Source organism: Homo sapiens, chromosome 5 (genome assembly GCF_000001405.40).
Source record: "Homo sapiens chromosome 5, GRCh38.p14 Primary Assembly".
Taxonomy (NCBI): Eukaryota; Metazoa; Chordata; class Mammalia; order Primates; family Hominidae; genus Homo; species Homo sapiens.
This window is the reverse complement of record NC_000005.10, coordinates 45,344,780-45,367,221: the sequence shown is the minus strand read 5'-3', so window position 1 is coordinate 45,367,221 and position 22,442 is coordinate 45,344,780. Positions and strand designations below refer to the sequence as shown.

Here is a 22,442-nt window from a genome sequence, read left to right as displayed (position 1 = left end):
TGATATTCACCAATATGGATTTTACTTAAATAAGACTCGATTTTTAACTTAAGACTCAAGGACTATGATTTTTCTTATTCTGCTGTGCAACACTTTGCACTTTCTTCTAATAACATCTCCTTACTCTTTAGTAGGTACTTACTAATGATCATTATAGTGTTTATATTTTGTCACTTCCCCCATTGGATTAGCACAAAAATTCAAATTGATTTATGTTGAGACTGATAACCAATCAATACTTGGATCTGAAACATAGATGTTGACTAAATCTTCTTAATATTTATGTATTCTTCTTCATTAATTCTTAATACCACATCATTCAGACTTGATAAGTACCATGATAACATCCATTTTGATCTTGTTTTATATTATGAATGTAAAGAAAATCAGGTTTTTAATTTGTACTGAAGGAATATCTTTGTTAGAATTTTTCGCTTTTGAAAAACAAATACAAAGATAAAAGTTAAGCATTATAAATGCTCCTTTCTTCATCAGATATGTTGCTTCTGCATGATAATTTGCTGGTGAGTCATTTAAAAATTATTCTTCAGATTATATTTACACTTAGTAATTATCCATATCCTCAGATATTCAGTTGCTTTAAATTTGGAAAGCTACAAACAATAAGATAGAAACAGTTGCATTTCAAACAAACTAGAGAGATTTACAAATGTAAATCAAGCTATTACTAATGCTAAGAAACATTTTGACTAAAATAATGAAGTAGAAGATTAGTGATATTTAAACAATGTCCTGTTTTAAGCTATTACTGTTTTTAACGCATTTTCATATATATACAGGGCTTACATAATAATTTATCATCTATCACTAAAAGCTTAAAAAATTTGTTGGGGCTGTGGAAAAAGGACATTAGGAATATATTATTTCTTAAAAATCACTTAACTGTTTATTGCAGATAGTGAATATATCTTCCCAATGGAATGGAAGTTAAACATAATTAAATTTCCTTTTTTTATTGAAGAATTACCACACACACACATAACATACAAAGAAGAGAATGTACACACATACACACACACACACACACACACACACAAATGCTATAATGTAACAACAATCAGTGCACCCACATTTTCAAAATATTTGCATCATTTTAATCACCCAAACTTATCTAAATTATTGCTCTAAAAGCTGCAATCTTTGATAGCCTAGTAGATTTAGCCCTGGTGTGAAATAGTATCTCTAGATTTATGCTAATTGGCTTTATAATTTATGAAACATTATGTCCTTAATCATCTAATTTTAAGAAATTAAATGGGAGGTCATTTAAGTTAAAATTTAATAAACTAAGTTATGGATCCTTCAACTGCTTAAGGCATATTACCTGCCTTTGAGGAAAAGAAAAGTAGGTATTTTATGACAACAAATAGGTGTCTGACTTGCTTGTTTCTACTGTATCATTAGAAGTCTTTTTTAAAAAAAATAAGTAAAACGATATGGAGATTCTCAAAGAACTAAAAATAGAACTACCGTTCAACCCAGTAATCCCACTGCTTGGTATTGACCCAAAAAGAAATAAATAATTGTATAAAAAAGACACCTGCACTCATATATTTATCACAGCCCTATTCGCAATGACAAAATCATGGAACCAACATAAGTATCCACCAACAGTTGAATGGATAAAGAAAATGTGGGTATATATGTATGGAATACTACACAGCCATAAAAAATAATTTAATCATGTCCTTTGCAGCAAAGTGGAGTTTGAGGCCATTATTCTAAGTGAAATACCTCAGAGGCAGAAAATCAAATATCATATGTTCTCACTTATAAATGTGAGCAAAACAATGGGTACATATGGACATAAAGATAGAGATAATAGTCTTTGGGGACTCCAAAAGGGTGGAGAATGGGAGGTGGGTGAGGGTTGAAAAATTACCTATTGAGTACTATGTTCAATAGTTTCGTGATGGGTACATTAGAAGCCCAGTCACCACCATTATGCATGTAATACCCATATAACAAACAAACACATGAATTCCCTAAATCTAACATGAAAAATAAAAATAAAAATATGTAAAAGAGTTTAAATGATTTACATATATTTGATCGTATGAAAAAAATGGCACTTTTATTTTTAAAAAGGACTTCAAAGCTTGTTCTTGACAAAGACTAAATAATATGTTTGACAATAAATAATATTTTAGAACATATTAATTAATCAATTATTGAACACCTTCAGGAAGCTTATGGTCTGCAAAGAACACAGGTAATTTCAGTAGAAATTATAATAGTGTGAAAAGAGCCAATGCATGGGAAATACTTGATGTTATAGGAGAATAAATAGCTCATCTAATCTAATCTAAATCTCAACTACTGTAATTCTCTTACTACCAGCATTAGCATCATCTAGAATCTTGTTAGAAATACTAAAATTTCAGTTTCAACCCCATACATACTGAATGTGAATCTTCATGTTAACAAAATTCTCATATTATTTTAATTTACATTAACATTTAAGACAAGCATTAGGGAAAATTACTCAGAGAAAGTGGCATTAAAAATTAACTCCCAAATGACAAGATGGTTAGTTTGTGAAAATTTAAAGTAAAATACGTTGGAAACAGAGACATGAGTGTACCCAAAACCAAGTCTGTAGCCTAGGCTGCAGGTTGGATAGAGAAGACATGCAGGAAAAAGGAAGACAATTTCAATTTTGCGTTTGATGTGCTCATGAAACATGTTGTAAGGGTAGATGTTTAAAGGGAAGACAGGCTTACGAGTCGAGATCAGGGATTTGTTCTCTGCTGGACCATTGACTTGAAGACATGCAGGAAAAAGGAAGACAATTTCAATTTTGCGTTTGATGTGCCCATGAAACATGTTGTAAGGGTAGATGTTTAAAGGGAAAACAGGCTTACGAGTCGAGATCAGGGATTTGTTCTCTGCTGGACCATTGACTTGAGGATTGGTGGTATATTGATAGTAACTGAAGTCATGTGAGTGGGAAGGATTGTCCAAGGAAAATACGTAAGGTGAAAAGAAAAGGCGGCCTTGGGCATAGTCTTTGGAAATACCAACTATTAAAAGATGCCAACAAATGAGACTGAAAAGAGCAGCCAAAGAAGAAACACGAAAGCCAGAACCATATGTGGATGGAGAAGACACAGGAAAAGATGTCTTAGGAGGAAGGGCTCAGTTTGTAATACTGTCTTAGTTTGGAATCTCCTAGTAGCAGAGCCTAATAAAAGAATTTGGGGTGGGTAATTTACTGAGGAAGAACTTTAAGAATCAGGATTAGGAAACAGGAGTAGTAAGACCACGTGTATTAGCCCATTTTTACGCTGCTGATAAAGACATACCCGAGACTGGGAAGAAAAAGAGATTTAATTGGACTTACAGTTCCACATGGCTGAGAAGGCTTCAGAATCATGGCAGGAGGAGAAAGGCACTTCTTATTTGGCGACAGCAAAAGAAAATGAGGAGGAAGCAAAAGCGGAAACCCCTGATAAACCCGTCAGATCTCGTAAGACTTATTCACTATCACAAGAATAGCACAGGAAAAACTGGCCCCCATGATTTAATTACCACCCCCTGGGTCCCTCCCACAACATATGGGAATTCTGAGAGATATAATTCAAGTTGAGATTTGAATGTGGACACAGCCAAACCATATCACCATGAAAAAGGAAAATCTAATGAAGGGTATATTATTGAGGTTTTTTTTAGTTATAGACAATTGGGGCTTAGTCCTACTGACACTCTCTGAGGAACTGTGTAGAATGAACCTTATACTTGTTTCTCTGAAGGATAGGGGCTGTTATTAATCTGGAGACTCAAGTCCCTCATTGGTTGAACGTTGCCTTATGTGGTGTAACCTACACCTCTCCTCACCCCCCAGAAGACCATGCAACTCTAGGTTGAGCTGAGCAAGTTTTCTAGAGTTCCCAGAGAGCCCTGATGCAAAAACCCTGAGATGGACTTTCCACCATTGGTACAGTTGAGGTCAGAGGTGGGTCAGCTTACAAGGAAAGACGCGTTGTATGGGACATCAATAGTGTTAACCACTGGTGTTCAGTACTATTCAGATATATATATATATATATATATATGTATATATATATAATATGTTATATATATAATATGTAAATATTATATATATTCAGATCACAAATATGTATATATATATATTTGGTATATTTGTGAAATATCTAATTAAGTATCATGGTAGTAATCAGGAAATAATGGAAATGCAAGAGTATTATTAGTGAAATAGAAGGAATGGAAGCTATAATTGAAGGTTTTAATGAGAAGTAGAAAGTTAGATAACAAAAGTAGACCACACTTTCAAGAAACTGGTTGAGAAAGGAGAGAAGAAAAATAGGATGGTAAGTAGAGGGCTACTTGTGATCAATAGAGAGTCATTTTTTGATGACAAGAATGTCATGCAGCAAATAAGAGCACAGTCTGAAGCCATATTGCCTAGATTCAAATCCTGGCTTCAGCACTAATTAGCTGTGTGACTTTATGCAAGTTATTTAAATTCTCTGTGCCTCAATTTCATTATCTGTAAAATGAAGATCATGATAGCAATCTCACACTGTTGTTATGAGGATTAAGTAGGTAAATATGAGTAAAAGGTTTAGTTGAGTGCCAGGAAAACAGCATTTAATATCCAAGGGTTAGATATGATTATGATTTTAATTATTGTAACTGGACATTCAAATACAGGTGAAAGAGTAGCTTTAAATGGAATTAGAAACACTTCTTTCATTGTTTATAAGAGAAATAAAGACAGAAGGAGAAAAAATAGATTTCTCTTTAAATGAGTTAGTAGATATTCTTAAGTAAAAGCTTCTATTTCTTTTTGAAATTCTATGTAAAGTCATCTTCTGTGAGTGAAAGAAACTGTTGAGGGAAGGAAATAGGAAAGTTGAGACAGCATAAAATGCTTTAAATGGTCCAATTTAAAAAAATGGAAGAGTGATTGAGTTAACCATGGTAGGCATGTTATATCAGTCCATACTCTTGTTCAATTAAGGGCCAGATCATTTCCCTACACATAGATAGATACACACACACACACACACACACACACACACAAACACACACACCAAGCAAAACTATAGTAATAAAGTTTAAAGTCATTTAGAGCAGGAAAACTAAAGGATTTTAAAAATATTCAAGCACACATTTAGCTGTATTACAATGGTTATAATGATTTTTTCTACTTCTACCAATCATCTAACCCTTGACCCTTATTCCATAATTACAAATAAATTAACATACTAAAGATGTTTTAGACAGACAATTTACTTGTTTAGTAATCAAGGATTTTCTTCTAATTGCTAAATACACTAAAGTCTCATCATCACTTTTTTTCAATTACATGCTTAGTTAAATCTTAAACAATGTTAAATTGACTTTTCAAAAACAATGCTCAACTTGGCCATTATAAAATAAAAACATAATAATAATAATTGATAAATGAAAACCTATGTAGTGTAAACAACTTCCAAGTTCTTTTGAATCCTGCATTTTTACATAGATGAAAGTATAGTTTCTTGTGAAATATCTGAATGGATAGCTAAGTTCCATAAGCAAGAAAGCAAATGACTATTTGTATTGGAAGAGATTATTCTGGATGGAAGAATAACACGCTTTACTTGTAATATCCCAGCACTTTGGGAGGCCAAGGCAGGTGGATCACCTGAAGTCAGGAATTCAAGACCAGTCTAACCAATGTGGTGAAACCCCATCTCTACTGAAAATACAAAATTAGCTGGGCATGGTGGTGCATGCCTGTAAGCCCAGCTACAGCTGAGGCAGGAGAATCACTAGAACCCAGGAGGCTGAGGTTGCAGTGACCAGTCTGACCAACATGGTGAAATCCCATCTCTACTGAAAGTACACAATTAGCTGGGCGTGGTGGTGCATGCCTGTAATCTCAGCTACAGCTGAGGCAGGAGAATCACTAGAACCCAGGAGGCCGAGGTTGCAGTGACCAGTCTGACCAACATGGTGAAATCCCATCTCTACTGAAAGTACACAATTAGCTGGGCGTGGAGATGCATGCCTGTAATCTCAGCTACAGCTGAGGCAGGAGAATCGCTAGAACCCTGGAGGCAGAGGTTGCAGTGAGCTGAGATCATGCCATTGCACTCCAGCCTGGGCAACAAGAGTGAAACTCCATCTCAGAGAAAAACAAATAAAATAAAATAAAATAAAATTACATTCAGTTGGAATTTTGACTGTTTTCCATGCAAAGTAGATACATATTTTATTTCAAAAAAGCTTTTGCATATCTTGAGAGCTAAATAATCATTATTCCATAGAAAAATCTATGTTTTGTTACCCAGCTTTCCAAAAAAGGAAATATAAAATGAAGATAAAATAGGAGTATCTGACTCAAACTTCTGCTAAAAAGCAAACAAATCTCTAAACCATCTGCTTTCCCTCATTTGTGATTTTCCTTTAGTTTTTTCCCATTCATTTTATTGAAAATCAAATTCAGGAAGATTTCATGTTATTTTTATGATTATATGACTTACTATGTAAAGACTATGTGACTTAAAACTTTTTCATAAAATAACCAGCAACACATTTTTACTGAGAAAAAAAAATTCTAAAAGATATGCATTGAAGATGTTGCTGTGTTTATAGCATAGTTCTTGAAAATAGTTCAATCTTGCTGCAAAAATTCTAGAAACAATACTTGTTAAATGAATTAGCATATTACCCAGCTTTTCTATATATATGAATTTATGTATTTTTAAATGTAGGATAATAAAGAGAAATTATGGCTTCAATTGCTGTGTAAATAGCTGGCAATACTAGAATTTTTCTTGGTAAAAATTAAGATAGATTAGTCATAAGCCCAGTGATTATTTATTTAAACATAAAAAAGTTAAAAAGAAAGTTGATTGTTGGTCTTTGAAGAGCAAACAATTTTAAATATTTTCTTATTATTTATTATTATTTGTCAAATTACATTTAAAACACATGTAGTCACTGGAATATAAAATTTATACTTTTTTATTCTATAAGAAAAATACCTCTTCAGAAACCATTTTAGCATTGCTGTGTTTATATTGAGAATGAGACATATATTTTTATTCAACTGGATTTTTAACCTGTTTGCTTTTTAATGATATTTCTAATAATTACTATTTATTATTTATTATTTATCACATAACATACATGCAGTATCACTACTAATTTTCATGGCACCCAGTACGTTAGATATTATCATTTCAAATTGACATATAAAAAACTGAAAAACTGAAAGGTAAAAAAAATATATATATATATATATACTCAAAGTCAAAAGTCAAGAATATAGTGTAGATTAAACACTGACACCACTGGTTCCAGCACTCATGGAGTTTTACAATGCCAATAAAACTTAATGTGGTCAGTTAAGATACTCAGATATTTTTAAATTGACACTCAGATATGTGTAAACACCCTTGAAATTGTAACACATTTTCATGCATGTTTATTTTGGCAGATGAAGGTCTATGCCTTTCATCTGATGCTGTAGGTTGTCCTAGAAATAAAGTTTAAAGAAGCTCTATTTCAGCTAGTGTAGCCTACTTTCAAATAGCTAGTTAATGTAGCATTTATGATTTATTTGAACATGGAAATTAGTTCCATCACTCACCAAAAAGTCTTTTGCCTTTTAAAAAAAAGTATTAACTTTTGTTTCACAAAAATAGTAGTTGATGTGTATTGATGCCAATGTACACATAGATACCCCACAGGTAAGACTCTACTGTGGGCACTACACTATAAAATTATCTTGAGATATTATAAATCAGGTGATATATATATATATATATTTTTTTTTTTTTGATGCTTCCTGAAAGTAAAAAGTTAACTTCTTATAGGCAGTGTTTTATAGATTTGAGACATGGGGATAGAATCATGAACTTAAAGTTCCCTCTGATTTGATGAGTAATTATTAATAATTTGCTATTTTTCAATTTATGTGATTTGCCCCTCTAATACAATGGGAAGGACAGCTTCTTATCCCTGTCTTCCAGGAATGTGAAGTGTATAAAATTATTCCTGAAGACCTGTAATCTGACTCTATAACACAAACTGGTAATAGATTAACAGGAAAAAAGGGCATACAAATTTATTATCTGCACATGTATGTACAGGAGTCATACAAAATATGAAAACTCAAAGAAATGCCCAATCATTGATGCTTTTATACCATCTTGGGGTTACAGAAAGAATAGGGGCTTATGGCATGGCAAGACAGATTGTCAGAGTTAGAGCAGAAGAAGAAAGGCATGGAGTAAAGGCAATCTTGTGCAGATGTACAGGTAGCAGCCCTCAGAAAAAATAGGTGATAGTCTATGGTAAATGTTTCTCTGTCAGATCTTAAAAGGTGTCAGACTCTCTGTTAATCTTTCCTAGACATGGACAAGCGGGGCGTCAGGAAAAGCTTGCTTGCATCTGTTATTTATTTCACTTTATTGCCTCCACAGATGCAAATCTCCCCACAAAAGGCACCTTTGTAGGGCTATTCCTGTCTGCAGGCCCTCTGAACAGCCATCTCAAAATATGTCAAAGAGGTATATTTGGGGTGAAATATTTTTAGTTTCCTTTAGGGGTGACAATTAGATTAACATTTTAAAAAGATGTCTCTGTCTGAATCATGGAAAATGAGTTAGAGTTGGAGGAAGACATGTATAAATAGGTACAGTGAATGTAGTTAAGAAGCTGGTCATGAGTTGAAGGAGAGAGAGTAGCTTTGACCAGAATGGTGATGCAGAGAAATGGAAAATTATTGAAACTTTTGGTAGGTAAAACTTACATAATTTGGTGATGTCTTAAGGATTGGGATGAAGGAGTAGGGGATAAACTAAGGTGTTTCAGTTTTATAAATAAGGGTATCATTTCATGGATATAAAAACAATATAAATGTGATTTAAAATTCTTTAGATTGCTTACTATTCTTCTATTAGATTGCCTTCTATTCCCTTCAATTATTCGTCAGTTCTCACCTCATAGACAGCTCGTGATGGTTATTATACTTATGATTTCCATTGCCACTTCTATTTTCCATTATCTTCTCTCTTAGTCCATTTTTCTGTTGCTAAAAAGGAAAACCTAAGATCGGGTAATTAATAAAGAAGAAAGGTTATTTGGCTCACAATTCTGATGGCTGGAAAGTTCAAGTTTGGGCATCAGTATTGGTGAGGGCCTCAGGCTGCTTCCACTCATGGCAGAAAGTGAAGGGGAGCAGGAGTATGCACAGACCTTATGGTGAGAAAGGAAGCAAGAGGGAGAGAGAGAGGGGAGAGGTGCCAGAATCTTTTTATCATCAAGCTCTCTAGGGAACTAACAGAGTGAGAATTCACTCACGCCTGAGGGAGGGCATAATCTTTGTCCTTGAGGGATCCACCCCTATGACCCGAACACTTTCCAATAGGTCCCACCTACAACACTGGGGATAAAATCTCAACATGAAGTTTGGAGAATCCTATCCAAACCATAGCACAAATCATTACAGTCTGCTTTGTAACATGATCCCTACTCCTAACATACACACATAGGGAAAGGTCACCAAAGACATTACTGAAACTAAATCTAGAGGGTAATTTTGAATTCACATTTAGACATGTCACATATTTTGGAGAATAAAAGCGGCCTAAAAATCATTTTCAAAAATCTCATATTAGTATATTTTTAAACTAAAAATATTAAAAGTACAGAAATAAATGATCAACGAAAAGGAGGCGGAATTAATGTTTTCTAAGAATTTCAGAAAATATTCTAGAATGTAGGGGAAATGTTGGGGAAATATAGAGAAAATGTAGGGAATGCAGAGAAAGGTAGGAGAAAATGCAGAGACTAAATACATTAAATAAAGATAAGAAACAAATCAAATCCAGCATAGAGAATCAAATTCAGATCCAAAGCCTCAACATCCAACTAGAGGAGTTCAACCTAGAATTCTATATGGAGTCAACTTTGAGAGTTTAATAAAGACAATTTCAGACATGGAAAGATTCAGAAAACATACAATCTTTCTTAGTCGTTTACTTGGGGATTTTTTCCAGCAACATGAATAAATAAACCAAAACAGAAACATGGCATTTAGAAATACTGAGCCAAACCAAGGATGTTGTAAAGAGAAATTCTATAGGAAAATCTTTGAAGAAAAAACTCAATGTCTATCTGGTGGGATAAGGAGGCTAGAAAAAAAATAATACTAAATGAAGGCTAATTACCCAAGAAATAAATGTGATCAGCAATTGCAGGATTAACAAATCCATTGGATGAACAAGTCTTGTTAATCTACTGATGAGCAAGAAAGGAAATGTCATCAAATACTCACACCATTTGGCTTTGTGGTAAATATTTACATGGCCAGAGTAATGTTAACACTATGAGTTTGGAAGTTCCAATTATAGGAACAAAGTTATAATCTACCTTTACATTGTAACATTAGAGATGACAGAAGTCATCAAATGAAAGTGAACGAGGGAGTTTTTTTACTTTCACCTGGTAAAGTATCTTAGAGTTATCTGAACAAGAAATAATAGTAAACATGGTGCATAAAGGTACAAAGCAACTAAGGTAAGAATTAACACTAGTGACACAGCTATAGCATGAGAAAGGAAGATTTGGGGTACTGTAAGTGGCAAAACACCATTTTATGACAGTTAGTTTATAAACAATGCCTGTAATTATCTATATAAGAAACGGGAACAAGCATATTGCTTAGTGATATGGATTAAACACCTTTTAACATGGAAAAGTGAGACTGGTGGGTTTGAAACTGGATCCTTGCCGTGTTTTATAAACACTCTTGTTAGATCTCATTTTTAATAATCATGTACATGCATACTTTTATAAATTTTTATAATTATACAGAAACTTTTAAAAATAAAAATATATTAGAATTTTAAGTGATAATTATTTTATAGTCTCTTTAGATCTGATGGAATAAACTTTTGATCTTATGTTTCCAAAGAATTGTATTGGCATCCTTGCTTTTCAAAAATCTATTTGTCTGTGACTACTAAATATACTAAGTCATATTTTGCATATAGTATATTACTACAACTATTAGAAAGTTTGCCATTTTATCATTTTTTGACTTTGCCAACTTACACATTACTTGTAACATCTAGTTTGTTTCACGGTCTGACTACCACTACTAAGTGTCTTTTTCAAAGAATAGTTGGTTATTTTTATTCACATCACATGGAAGTGATATTTTCATACATTCTTGCAAGTCTTGTTAGGTGTGGGAGAAACAGACAAAAAGAAAAAGAAAAAGCTCCTGTTTTTAGTGTGTTGTATTCTAACAGAGATTACTACCTAATTTCCAAATTCACTGGCCACTGTTCAGTACCTGTTTTCTTAGAATAGATTCCTTTTGACCACACCCCCTGTGAAATTTAATCCTTCTTTGGATTTTCTAATCATGTTTTTCTGGTTCTGCTCTCACATCTTGGCAGGTATTAACAGTACCCTTAATTAATCAGTCTCCTGGCTCAGCTGATTTTAAAACATAAGTTCCACTTTTTAGCCTTTTCGCCTCATTTGACACATCCTCCCTTAGTGACTTCTTAGTCACCAATGATGTATATATTTTCTTCTCTGAGTGCCTGACCTACATAGAGGCATTAGGATGTGCTATGGGCATCTTAAACTTAACTTGCTGAAAACTAAATTTACTTTGTTTCCCCCACGCTCACTCAAGCATGCTTCCTTATGTCCTAAGATGACACAGTACTTGGCATATAGCAGCGATTATGAAATTTTTGTGTATGAAGGACCTGTTAAAACACATACTGCTGTGTCCCAAATGTAGAGTTTCTGATTCAGTAGGTCTGGAGTGGAGACTGTGAATGTGTATTTATAAAGAATTCCCAAGTGCTATTGGTGGTTTGGCAACCACACCTTGAGAACTACTGGCATACAATAATCATTTAATGTTTGCTAGATCAATAGTTACTATGAGTCAATGAATGCTTAAAATAGTAATATAGATTCAAACTTCAAACAATATGAATAAATGATAAGAAATAGTCATATAACTTTAAAATTTTAGTTTGAAAGTAAAAGGAAGATCATTTAGTCAAATACTCTCTTATTGTTGATTCATAAATGAGATCTGGAAGGGTTAAATGACTTGTGTGAGGAAAAACAATTAGATTCAATCAACCCTAAGCTTCATAAAAATAAAATAACTATACATGTAACATTTGTTCTTAGCTACAAAGGGATTAATTTTCCAAATTCAGAGACAGAGATAGAGCAGATTATATTTTCCCTAGATTAGTAGGTCTTTGCATACAAGCACTAATTTCCCAAAAATGAATAAAATACTACTAAGTTTCAGTGCTGCTCTTCATATTTCTGAGATGCATGGAAAAGAAAGTAGAAATGAAGATCTCAATGTGTCAGTTAAGGTTTCAGATTCTCACCCCTCCAAGTAGTGTTTGAGCAAGCAAGTTACTTCAGAGAGATGTACATAGGCCTTCAGGCTTTAAATAGTTTGATGGACAGTCTGGTTATCAAAGAAAGTCTCACGACAAAGTGGTATTTCCTTTGAGGGTACTAATGTTCAAAAGGGAATGTTCAAACAATATAATTTTTTTGCAAAATGAAAGTATGTTGGAAAAAATGAAGAGATGCAATAAAATGGGTTGCTGTTTCTCATTAGCTAGGTCTATTATCAATTACCAAGTACAATTACAATAATTATGGGCAAAGAGTCAGGAGATCTAGATCTAGTCAGAGCTGTGTTATCAAGAAAATATTTCAGAAAATCTTGTCCATATAAAGTATATCAAATGTGTGTTACATGAGGAAAAATATTATTTTGACATCTTTATCCAGTTGTGTTACCAACTATTAAAATTTGTACTCGATGCTGTCATCTATACAATGAAACAAAATTTTTAAGACCTAATTATTTTTTTTTCAGTGTGTGGTCTTATGACCCCCTGCATTTGAAACACCTAGGGATTGTTTCTCAAACTTTAAGGTGTATATCTATGCACGTGAGTCATCTGGAGACGTTTTTAAGATGCAAATTCTTATTCCATAGGTCTTGGATGAGGCTTGAAATTATTCTCTTCTAATAGGCACCCAGGTAATATCCATGCTTATATGGTCCTGTTTGACTATCAGGGATGCAGGGATGCTACTTACAAACAATCTCTCTCTCTCTCTCTGGGTGTGTGTGTGTGCACGCGCATGTGTGTATAAATATAAATAGGCAGATAGGTCAATAGAATCAATCTCGGGAATTAAGCCTGAAGATCAGCCTTCCAAAAAAGCAATGCCCTCCCCAGTTCTTAAAACAATCACAGTTGACGCCTACTTGTTTAAATGAACTTCAGTGTCTAAGTTAACTTTCAGCTATACAGTAATGTGGATCTAGTCTCACCGTGATATTCTCCTAAATCCTAAATTGGAAGCCTGCCATAGTCTCTTAGTTCTCAGTAATTTACAGGGCATCTGTGTTGTTGAAGTATGAATGATCTGCAAATACCTGCCAAGCTCCCTGCCTGTCGATTCCAAATTTAATTAGATTCTGATCTTTTGCCAAAAAGCCTAAGATAAAACCTATTGTACTATCCATAGGTATGAGATTTTTCTTAAAAATCGACAGCCAAACAATTTCATACTTCTTTTAGAACTCAATTTAAAAAAATAGCATAACATTTTGTTTTTGCCCCATCACTGGCTTTTCTGTAGCTACTCCCTTAAATTCACTCTTAACTCCCTTCATGCCTCCTCTCCACGATATCTTAGTTCTTTCCATGAAATGTGCACCTAAATAAAATGCCTTATACATTATGTAACACAAAATAGGTACATTAGACCCAGGTAAATTAGTTCCTTCATCTTAAAGGATTTCTTTTTTTTTGTAACTGAGTATTCAAATATTATTGAATATAGCAAAACAAAATAATATGATTTCTGATACACCCTAACAATGTTTTTTTTTAATTTTATTTTCCCTTCCTTACAGTATAAGCAAGTGGAACAATACATGTCATTCCATAAGTTACCAGCTGATATGCGTCAGAAGATACATGATTACTATGAACACAGATACCAAGGCAAAATCTTTGATGAGGAAAATATTCTCAATGAACTCAATGATCCTCTGAGAGAGGTAAGATTTATTGTCCTCAGTATGCATAATACATAATCATTGTTTATTTTCTCTCTTCATGGAGAATCTTCTAGTCCACGTTACTCTAAAGAAAAACCTAAACTTATTAAGATATTTTGTCCTTATCTTCTTTAGCTTCTCACCTACATAAGCTCTTAAATGTTGAAAAAAGTATTGGAAAATTGTTCTATTTATGATCCTCAGAACTGTTCTCTTGTCTGTATTTCTGGCTCTTTAAAATTCCTTCTTGTGGCCTCATTGTCTATATTGTCCCCATTTTTCTCCCCCTCATTCTTATCAAACTGATTCTTCTTTTTGATTCCTATTCTTCCTCCCATCTTCACTTTCCTGGATCATCTCATGGACCCTGATAAGACAATGACTTGCTGTGAGCAGTTCATTTCCTATTATCTCATTCAAACACTTTGCAACATTAATAACCACCTCTTTGCTTTGCATCATCTTTCTGTTCCTCCCTAGAAATCTGCCTTCTTCCCACTAGAATATTCAGATCACTCCTGGACCAAAATAACTTGCTCTTGGTTATTCATATTTCTTTATTTTATTTTATTATTATTATACTTTAAGTTTTAGGGTACATGTGCACAATGCGCACGTTACTTACATATGTATACATGTGCGATGCTGGTGTGCTGCACCCATTAACTCGTCATTTAGCATTAGGTATATCTCCTAATGCTATCCCTCCCCCTCCCCCCACTGCACAACACTCCCCAGAGTGTGATGTTCCCCTTCCTGTGTCCATGTGTTCTCATTGTTCAATTCCCACCTATGAGTGAGAACATGCGGTGTTCGATTTTTTGTCCTTCCGATAGTTTACTGAGAATGATGATTTCCAATTTCATCCATGTCCCTACAAAGGACATGAACTCATCATTTTTATGGCTGCATAGTATTCCATGGTGTATATGTGCCACATTTTCTTAATCCAGTCTATCCTTGTTGGACATTTGGGTTGGTTCCAAGTCTTTGCTATTGGGAATAGTGCCGCAATAAACATACGTGTGCATCTGTCTTTATGGCAGCATGATTTATAGTCCTTTGGGTATTACCCAGTAATGGGATGGCTGGGTCAAATGGTATTTCTAGTTCTAGATCCCTGAGGAATCGCCACACTGACTTTCACAATGTTTGAACTAGTTTACAGTCCCGCCAACAGTGTAAAAGTGTTCCTATTTCTCCACATCCTCTCCAGTACCTGTTGTTTCCTGACTTTTTAATGATCGCCATTCTAACTGGTGTGAGATGGTGTCTCATTGTGGTTTTGATTTGCATTTCTCTGATGGCCAGTGATGATGAGCATTTTTTCATGTGTTTTTTGGCTGCATAAATGTCTTCTTTTGAGAAGTGTCTGTTCATGTCCTTTGCCCACTTTTTGATGGGGTTGTTTGTTTTTTTCTTATAAATTTGTTTGAGTTCATTGTAGATTCTGGATATTAGCCCTTTGTCAGATGAGTAGGTTGCGAAAATTTTCTCCCATGTTGTAGGTTGCCTGTTCACTCTGATGGTAGTTTCTTTTGCTGTGCAGAAGCTCTTTAGTTTAATTAGATCCCATTTGTCAATTTTGTCTTTTGTTGCCATTGCTTTTGGTGTTTTGGACATGAAGTCCTTGCCCACGCCTATGTCCTGAATGGTAATGTCTAGGTTTTCTTCTAGGGTTTTTATGGTTTTAGGTCTAACGTTTAAATCTTTAATCCATCTTGAATTGATTTTTGTATAAGGTGTAAGAAAGGGATCCAGTTTCAGCTTTCTACATATGGCTAGCCACTTTTCCCAGCACCATTTATTAAATAGGGAATCCTTTCCCCATTGCTTGTTTTTCTCAGGTTTGTCAAAGATCAGATAGTTGTAGATATGCGGCATTATTTCTGAAGGCTCTGTTCTGTTCCATTGATCTATATCTCTGTTTTGGTATCAGTACCATGCTGTTTTGGTTACTGTAGACTTGTAGTATAGTTTGAAGTCAGGTAGCGTGATGCCTCCAGCTTTGTTCTTTTGGCTTAGGATTGACTTGGTGATGCGGGCTCTTTTTTGGTTCCATATGTATTTTAAAGTAGTTTTTTCCAATTCTGTGAAGACAGTCATTGGTAGCTTGATGGGGATGGCATTGAATCTATAAATTACCTTGGGCAGTATGGCCATTTTCACGATATTGATTCTTCCTACCCATGAGCATGAAATGTTCTTCCATTTGTTTGTATCCTCTTTTACTTCATTGAGCAGTGGTTTGTAGTTCTCCTTGAAGAGGTCCTTCACGTCCCTTGTAAGTTGGATTCCCAGGTATTTTATTCTCTTTGAAGCAATTGTGAATGGGAGTTCACTCATGATTTGGCTCTCTGTTTGTCTGTTGTTGGTGTATAAGAATGCTTGTGATTTTTGTACATTGATTTTGTATCCTGAGACTTTGCTGAAGTTGCTTATCAGCTTAAGGAGATTTTGGGCTGAGACAATGGGGTTTTCTAGATATACAATCATGTCATCTGCAAACAGGGACAATTTGACTTCCTCTTTTCCTAATTGAATACCCTTTATTTCCTTCTCCTGCCTGATTGCCCTGGCCAGAACTTCCAACACTATGTTGAATAGGAGTGGTGAGAGAGGGCATCCCTGTCTTGTGGCAGTTTTCAAAGGGAATGCTTCCAGTTTTTGCCCACTCAGTATGATATTGGCTGTGGGTTTGTCATAGATAGCTCTTATTATTTTGAGATACGCCCCATCAATACCTAATTTATTGAGAGTTTTTAGCATGAAGAGTTGTTGAATTTTGTCAAAGGCCTTTTCTGCATCTATTGAGATAATCATGTAGTTTTTGTCTTTGGTTCTGTTTATTTGCTGGATTACATTTATTGATTTGTATATATTGAACCAGCCTTGCATCCCAGGGATGAAGCCCACTTGATCGCGGTGGATAACCTTTTAGATGTGCTGCTGGATTCGGTTTGCCAGTATTTTATTGAGGCTTTTTGCATCAATGTTCATCAAGGATATTGGTCTAAAATTCTTTTTTTTGGTTGTGTGTCTGCCCAGCTTTGGTATCAGGATGATGCTGTCCTCACAAAATGAATTAGGGAGGATTCCCTCTTTTTCTATTGATTGGAATAGTTTCAGAAGGAATGGTACCAGTTCCTCCTTGTACCTCTGGTGGAATTCGGCTGTGAATCCATCTGGTCCTGGACTCTTTTTGGTTGGTAAGCTATTGATTATTGCCACAATTTCAGAGCCTGTTACTGGTCTATTCAGAGATTCAACTTCTTCCTGGTTTAGTCTTGGGAGGGTGTATGTGTCGAGAAATCTTTCCATTTCTTCTAGATTTTCTAGTCAGTTTGCGTAGAGGTGTTTGTAGTATTCTCTGTGGGCAGTTTGTATTTCTGTGGGATCGGTGGTGATATCCCCTTTATCATTTTTTGTTGCATCTATTTCATTCTTTTCTCTTTTCTACTTTATTCGTCTTGCTAGCGGTCTATCAATTTTGTTGATCCTTTCAAAAAACCAGCTCCTGCATTCTTTAATTTTTTGAAGGGTTTTTTGTGTCTCTATTTCCTTCAGTTCTGCTCTGATTTTAGTTATTTCTTGCCTTCTGCTAGATTTTGAATGTATTTGCTCTTGCTTTTCTAGTTCTTTTAATTGTGATGTTAGGGTGTCAAATTTGGATCTTTCCTGCTTTCTCTTGTGGGCATTTAGTGCTATGAATTTCCCTCTACACACTACTTTGAATGTGTCCCAGAGATTCTGTTATGTTGTGTCTTTGTTCTCATTGGTTTCAAAGAACATCTTTATTTCTGCCTTCATTTCGTTATGTACCCAGTAGTCATTCAGGAGCAGGTTGTTCAGTTTCCATGTAGTTGAGTGGCTTTGAGTGAGTTTCTTAATCCTGAGTTCTAGTTTGATTGCACTGTGGTCTGAGAGACAGTTTGTTATAATTTCTGTTCTTTTACATTTGCTGAGGAGAGCTTTACTTCCAAGTATGTGGTCAATTTTGGAAGAGGTGTGGTGTGGTGCTGAAAAAAATGTATATTCTATTGATTTGGGGTGGAGAGTTCTGTAGATGTCTATTAGGTCCGCTTGCTGCAGAGCTGAGTTCAATTCCTGGGTATCATTGTTAACTTTCTGTCTCGTTAATCTGTCTAATGTTGACAGTGGGGTGTTAAAGTTTCCCTTTATTATTGTGTGGGAGTCTAAGTCTCTTTGTAGGTCACTCAGAACTTGCTTTATGAATCTGGGTGCTCCTGTATTGGATGCATATATATTTAGGATAGTTAGCTCTTCTTGTTGAATTGATCCCTTTACCATTATGTAATGGCCTTCTTTGTCTCTTTTGATCTTTGTTGGTTTAACGTCTGTTTTATCAGAGACTAGGATTGCAACCCTTGCCTTTTTTTTGTTTTCCATTTGCTTGGTAGATCTTCCTCCATCCTTTTATTTTGAGCCTATGTTATGTGTGTCTCTGCACATGAGATGGGTTTCCTGAATACAGCACACTGATGGGTCTTGACTCTTTATCCAATATGCCAGTCTGTGTCTTTTAATTGGAGCATTTAGTCCATTTACATTTAAAGTTAATATCGTTATGTGTGAATTTGATCCTGTCATTATGATGTTAGCTGGTTATTTTGCTTGTTAGTTGATGCAGTTTCTTCCTAGCCTTGATGGCCTTTGCAATTTGGTGTGATTTTTCAGTGGCTGGTACCGGTCGTTCCTTTCCATGTTTAGTGCTTCCTTCAGGAGCTCTTTTAGGGCAGGCCTGCTGGTGACAAAATCTCTCAGCATTTGCTTGTCTGTAAAGTATTTTATTTCTCCTTCACTTATGAAGCTTAGCTTGGCTGGATATGAAATTCTGGGTTGAAAATTCTTTTCTTTAAGAACTTTGAATACTGGCCCCCCACTCTCTTCTGGCTTGTAGAGTTTCTGCTGAGAGATCTGCTGTTAGTCTGATGGGCTTCCCTTTGTGGGTAATCCGACCTTTCTCTCTGGCTGCCCTGAACATTTTTTCCTTCATTTCAACTTTGGTGAATCTGACAATTATGTGTCTTGGAGTTGCTCTTCTCAAGGAGTATCTTTGTGGCGTTCTCTGTATTTCCTGAATCTGAATGTTGGCCTGCTTTGCTAGATTGGGGAAGTTCTCCTGTATAATATCCTGCAGAGTGTTTTCCAACTTGGTTCCATTCTCCCCGTCACTTTCAGGTACACCAATCAGACGTAGATTTGGTCTTTTCATATAATCCCATATTTCTTGGAGGCTTTGTTTGTTTCCTTTTCTTCTTTTTTCTCTAAACTTCCCTTCTCACTTCATTTCATTCATTTCATCTTCCATCACTGATACCCTTTCTTCCAGTTGATCGCATCGGCTCCTGAGGCTTCTGCATTCTTCACGTAGTTCTCGAGCCTTGGCTTTCAGCTCCATCAGCTCCTTTAAGCACTTCTCTATATTGGTTATTCTAGTTATACATTCGTCTAAATTTTTTTCAAAGTTTTCAACTTCTTTGCCTTTGGTTTGAATTTCCTCCTGTAGCTCGGAGTAGTTTGATCGTCTGAAGCCTTCTTCTCTCAACTCATCAAAGTCATTCTCCATCCAGCTTTGTTCCGTTGCTGGTGACCAACTGCGTTCCTTTGGAGGAGGAGAGGTGCTCTGCTTTTTAGAGTTTCCAGTTTTTCTGCTGTTTTTTCCCCATCTTTGTGGTTTTATCGACTTTTGTTCTTTGACGATGGTGATGTACAGATGGGTTTTTGGTGTGGATGTCCTTTGTGTTTGTTAGTTTTCCTTCTAACAGACAGGACCCTCAGCTGCAGGTCTGTTGGAGTTTGCTAGAGGTCCATTCCAGACCTTGTTTGCCTGGGTATCAGCAGCGGTGGCTGCAGAACAGCAGATTTTCGTGAACCACAAATTCTGCTGTCTGATCGTTCCTCTGGAGTTTTTGTGTCAGAGAAGTAGCCAGCCCTGTGAGGTGTCAGTCTGCCCCTACTGGGAGGTGCCTCCCAGTTAGGCTGTTCGGGGATCAGGGGTCAGGGACCCACTTGGGGAGGCAGTCTGCCTGTTCTCAGATCTCCAGCTGCGTGCTGGGAGAACCACTGCTCTCTTCAAAGCAGTCAGACAGGGACATTTAAGTCTGCAGAGGTTACTGCTGTCTTTTTGTTTGTCTGTGCCCTGCCCCCAGAGGTGGAGCCTACAGAGGCAGGCAGGCCTCCTTGAGCTGTGGTGGGCTCCACCCAGTTCAAGCTTCCCGGCTGCTTTGTTTACCTAAGCAAGCCTGGGCCATGGAGGGTGCCCCTCCCGCAGCCTCGCTGCTGCCTTGCAGTTTGATCTCAGATTGCTGTGCTAGCAATCAGTGAGACTCCATGGATGTAGGACCCTCCAAGCCAGGTGCAGGATATAATCTCCTGGTGTGCCGGTTTTTAAGCCCATCAGAAAAGCGCAGTATTAGGGTGGGAGTGACCCGATTTTCCAGGTGCCATCTGTCACCCCTTTCTTTGACTAGGAAAGGGAACTCCCTGACCCCTTGCGCTTCCTGAGTGAGGTAGTGCCTCGCCCTGCTTCAGCTCGCTCATGGTGCACTGCACCTACTGTCCTGTGCCCACTGTCTGGTACTCCCTAGTGAGATGAACCCGGTACCTCAGATGGAAATGCAGAAATCACCCATCTTCTGTGTCACTCACGCTGGGAGCTGTAGACCAGAGCTGTTCCTATTCAGCCATCTTGGCTGCCAACCATTATTCATATTTCTTACACTTCTTTGCCCTCTCCTTTCTTTTACTGCCAATCTTCTCAAAAGGTTTCTATGTACTCAATGAATTATGGTTTGGTCTTAGCTTCTTTACCAAAGTTTTTCATTTGAAAGTTGTCAATGACCTGTCATGTTGAACTGTAGCTTCTACATTTCCCACATATCATGGGAGGGACCCCGTGGGAGGTAATTGAATCATGGGGATGGTTACCACATGCTCTGTTCTTGCTAGTGAGTAAGTTCTCACGAGATCTGATGATTTTAAAAGGTGCTTTTATCCCTTTTGGTCGATACTTCTTCTTTCTGCCACCAAGCAAAGAAGGACGTGTTTGCTTCCCCTTCTGCCATGCTTGTAAGTTTCTTGAGGCCTCCCCAGCCATGCTGAACTATGAGTCAAATAAACCTCTTTCCTTTATGAATAACTCATTTTCGAGTATGTCTTTATTAGCAGCATGAGAACAGGCTATTTCAGTAAACTGGTACAGAGTAGTTGGGCACTGCTTCAAAGATACCTGAAATTGTGGAAGTGACTTTGGAACTGGGTAACAGGCAGAGATTGAAACCGTTTGGAGGGTTCAGAAGAAGAGAGTAAAATGTGGGAAAGTTTGGAACTTCCTAGAGACTTGTTGAATGGCTTTGACCAAAATGCTGAAAGTGCTATGGTCAATAAAGCCCAGGCTGAGATGGTCTCAGATGGAGATGAGGATCTTGTTAGGAACTGGAGCAAAGGTGACTCTTGTTATGCTTTAGCAAAGAGACTGGTGGCATTTTGCCCCTGCCATAGAGATCTTTGTGGAACTTTGAAGTTGAGAGAAATAATTTAGGGTATCTAGTGGAAAAAAAGTTCTAAGCAGCAAAGTGTTCAAAAGTTGACAGAGCATAAAACTTTGAAATATTTTGCAGCGTGACCATGTAGTAGAAAAGAAAAAGCCCACTTTCTGGGGAGAAATTCAAGCCTTCTGCAGCAATTTACATCAGTGACAAGGCGTTGGATGTTAATCACCAGGATAATGGAGAAAATATCTCCAGGGCATGTCAGAGACCTTCCCATTAGCCCCTCCCATCACAGACCTGGAGGTCTAGGGGGAAAAAATAGTTTCATGAGCTGGGCCCACAGGCTGCCTGCTGTGTGCAGCCTAGGGACTTGGTGCCCTGCATCCCAGTTGTTTCAGCCATTGATAAAAGGGGCCAAGGTACAGCTCAGGCTGTGGCTTCAGAGGGTGCAAGCCCCAAGCCTTGGGATCTTCCACATGATGTTGAGCCTGTGGGGGTCACAAAAGTCAAGAACTGAGGTTTGGTAACCTCCACCTAGATTTCAGAGGATGTATGGAAATGCGTGGATGTCCAGGCAGAAGTTTGCTGCAGGGACAGGGCCCTCATGGAGAACCTCTGCTAGGGCAGTGTGGTAGGGAAATGTGAGGTCAGAACCCCCACAGGGAGTCTCCACTGGGTCACTGCCTAGTGGAGCTGTGAGAAGAGGACCACCATCCTCCAGACCCCAGAATGGTTGATCCACCAACATCTTGCACCCTGCAACTGGAAAAACTGCAGATACTCAATGAATCCCCACCCATGAAAGC

General features: G+C 36.7%; 1 protein-coding gene across 1 annotated transcript in view; it reads left to right on the top strand.

The window, feature by feature from the left end:
• Positions 1-22,442, top strand: part of HCN1 (hyperpolarization activated cyclic nucleotide gated potassium channel 1) — a 441,433-nt gene that overhangs the window by 329,159 nt on the left and 89,832 nt on the right. The window contains exon 5 of the mRNA NM_021072.4: positions 13,976-14,122. Within this exon, the coding sequence (NP_066550.2) occupies positions 13,976-14,122 (147 nt within the window). The remainder of the gene's footprint in view (positions 1-13,975; positions 14,123-22,442) is intronic.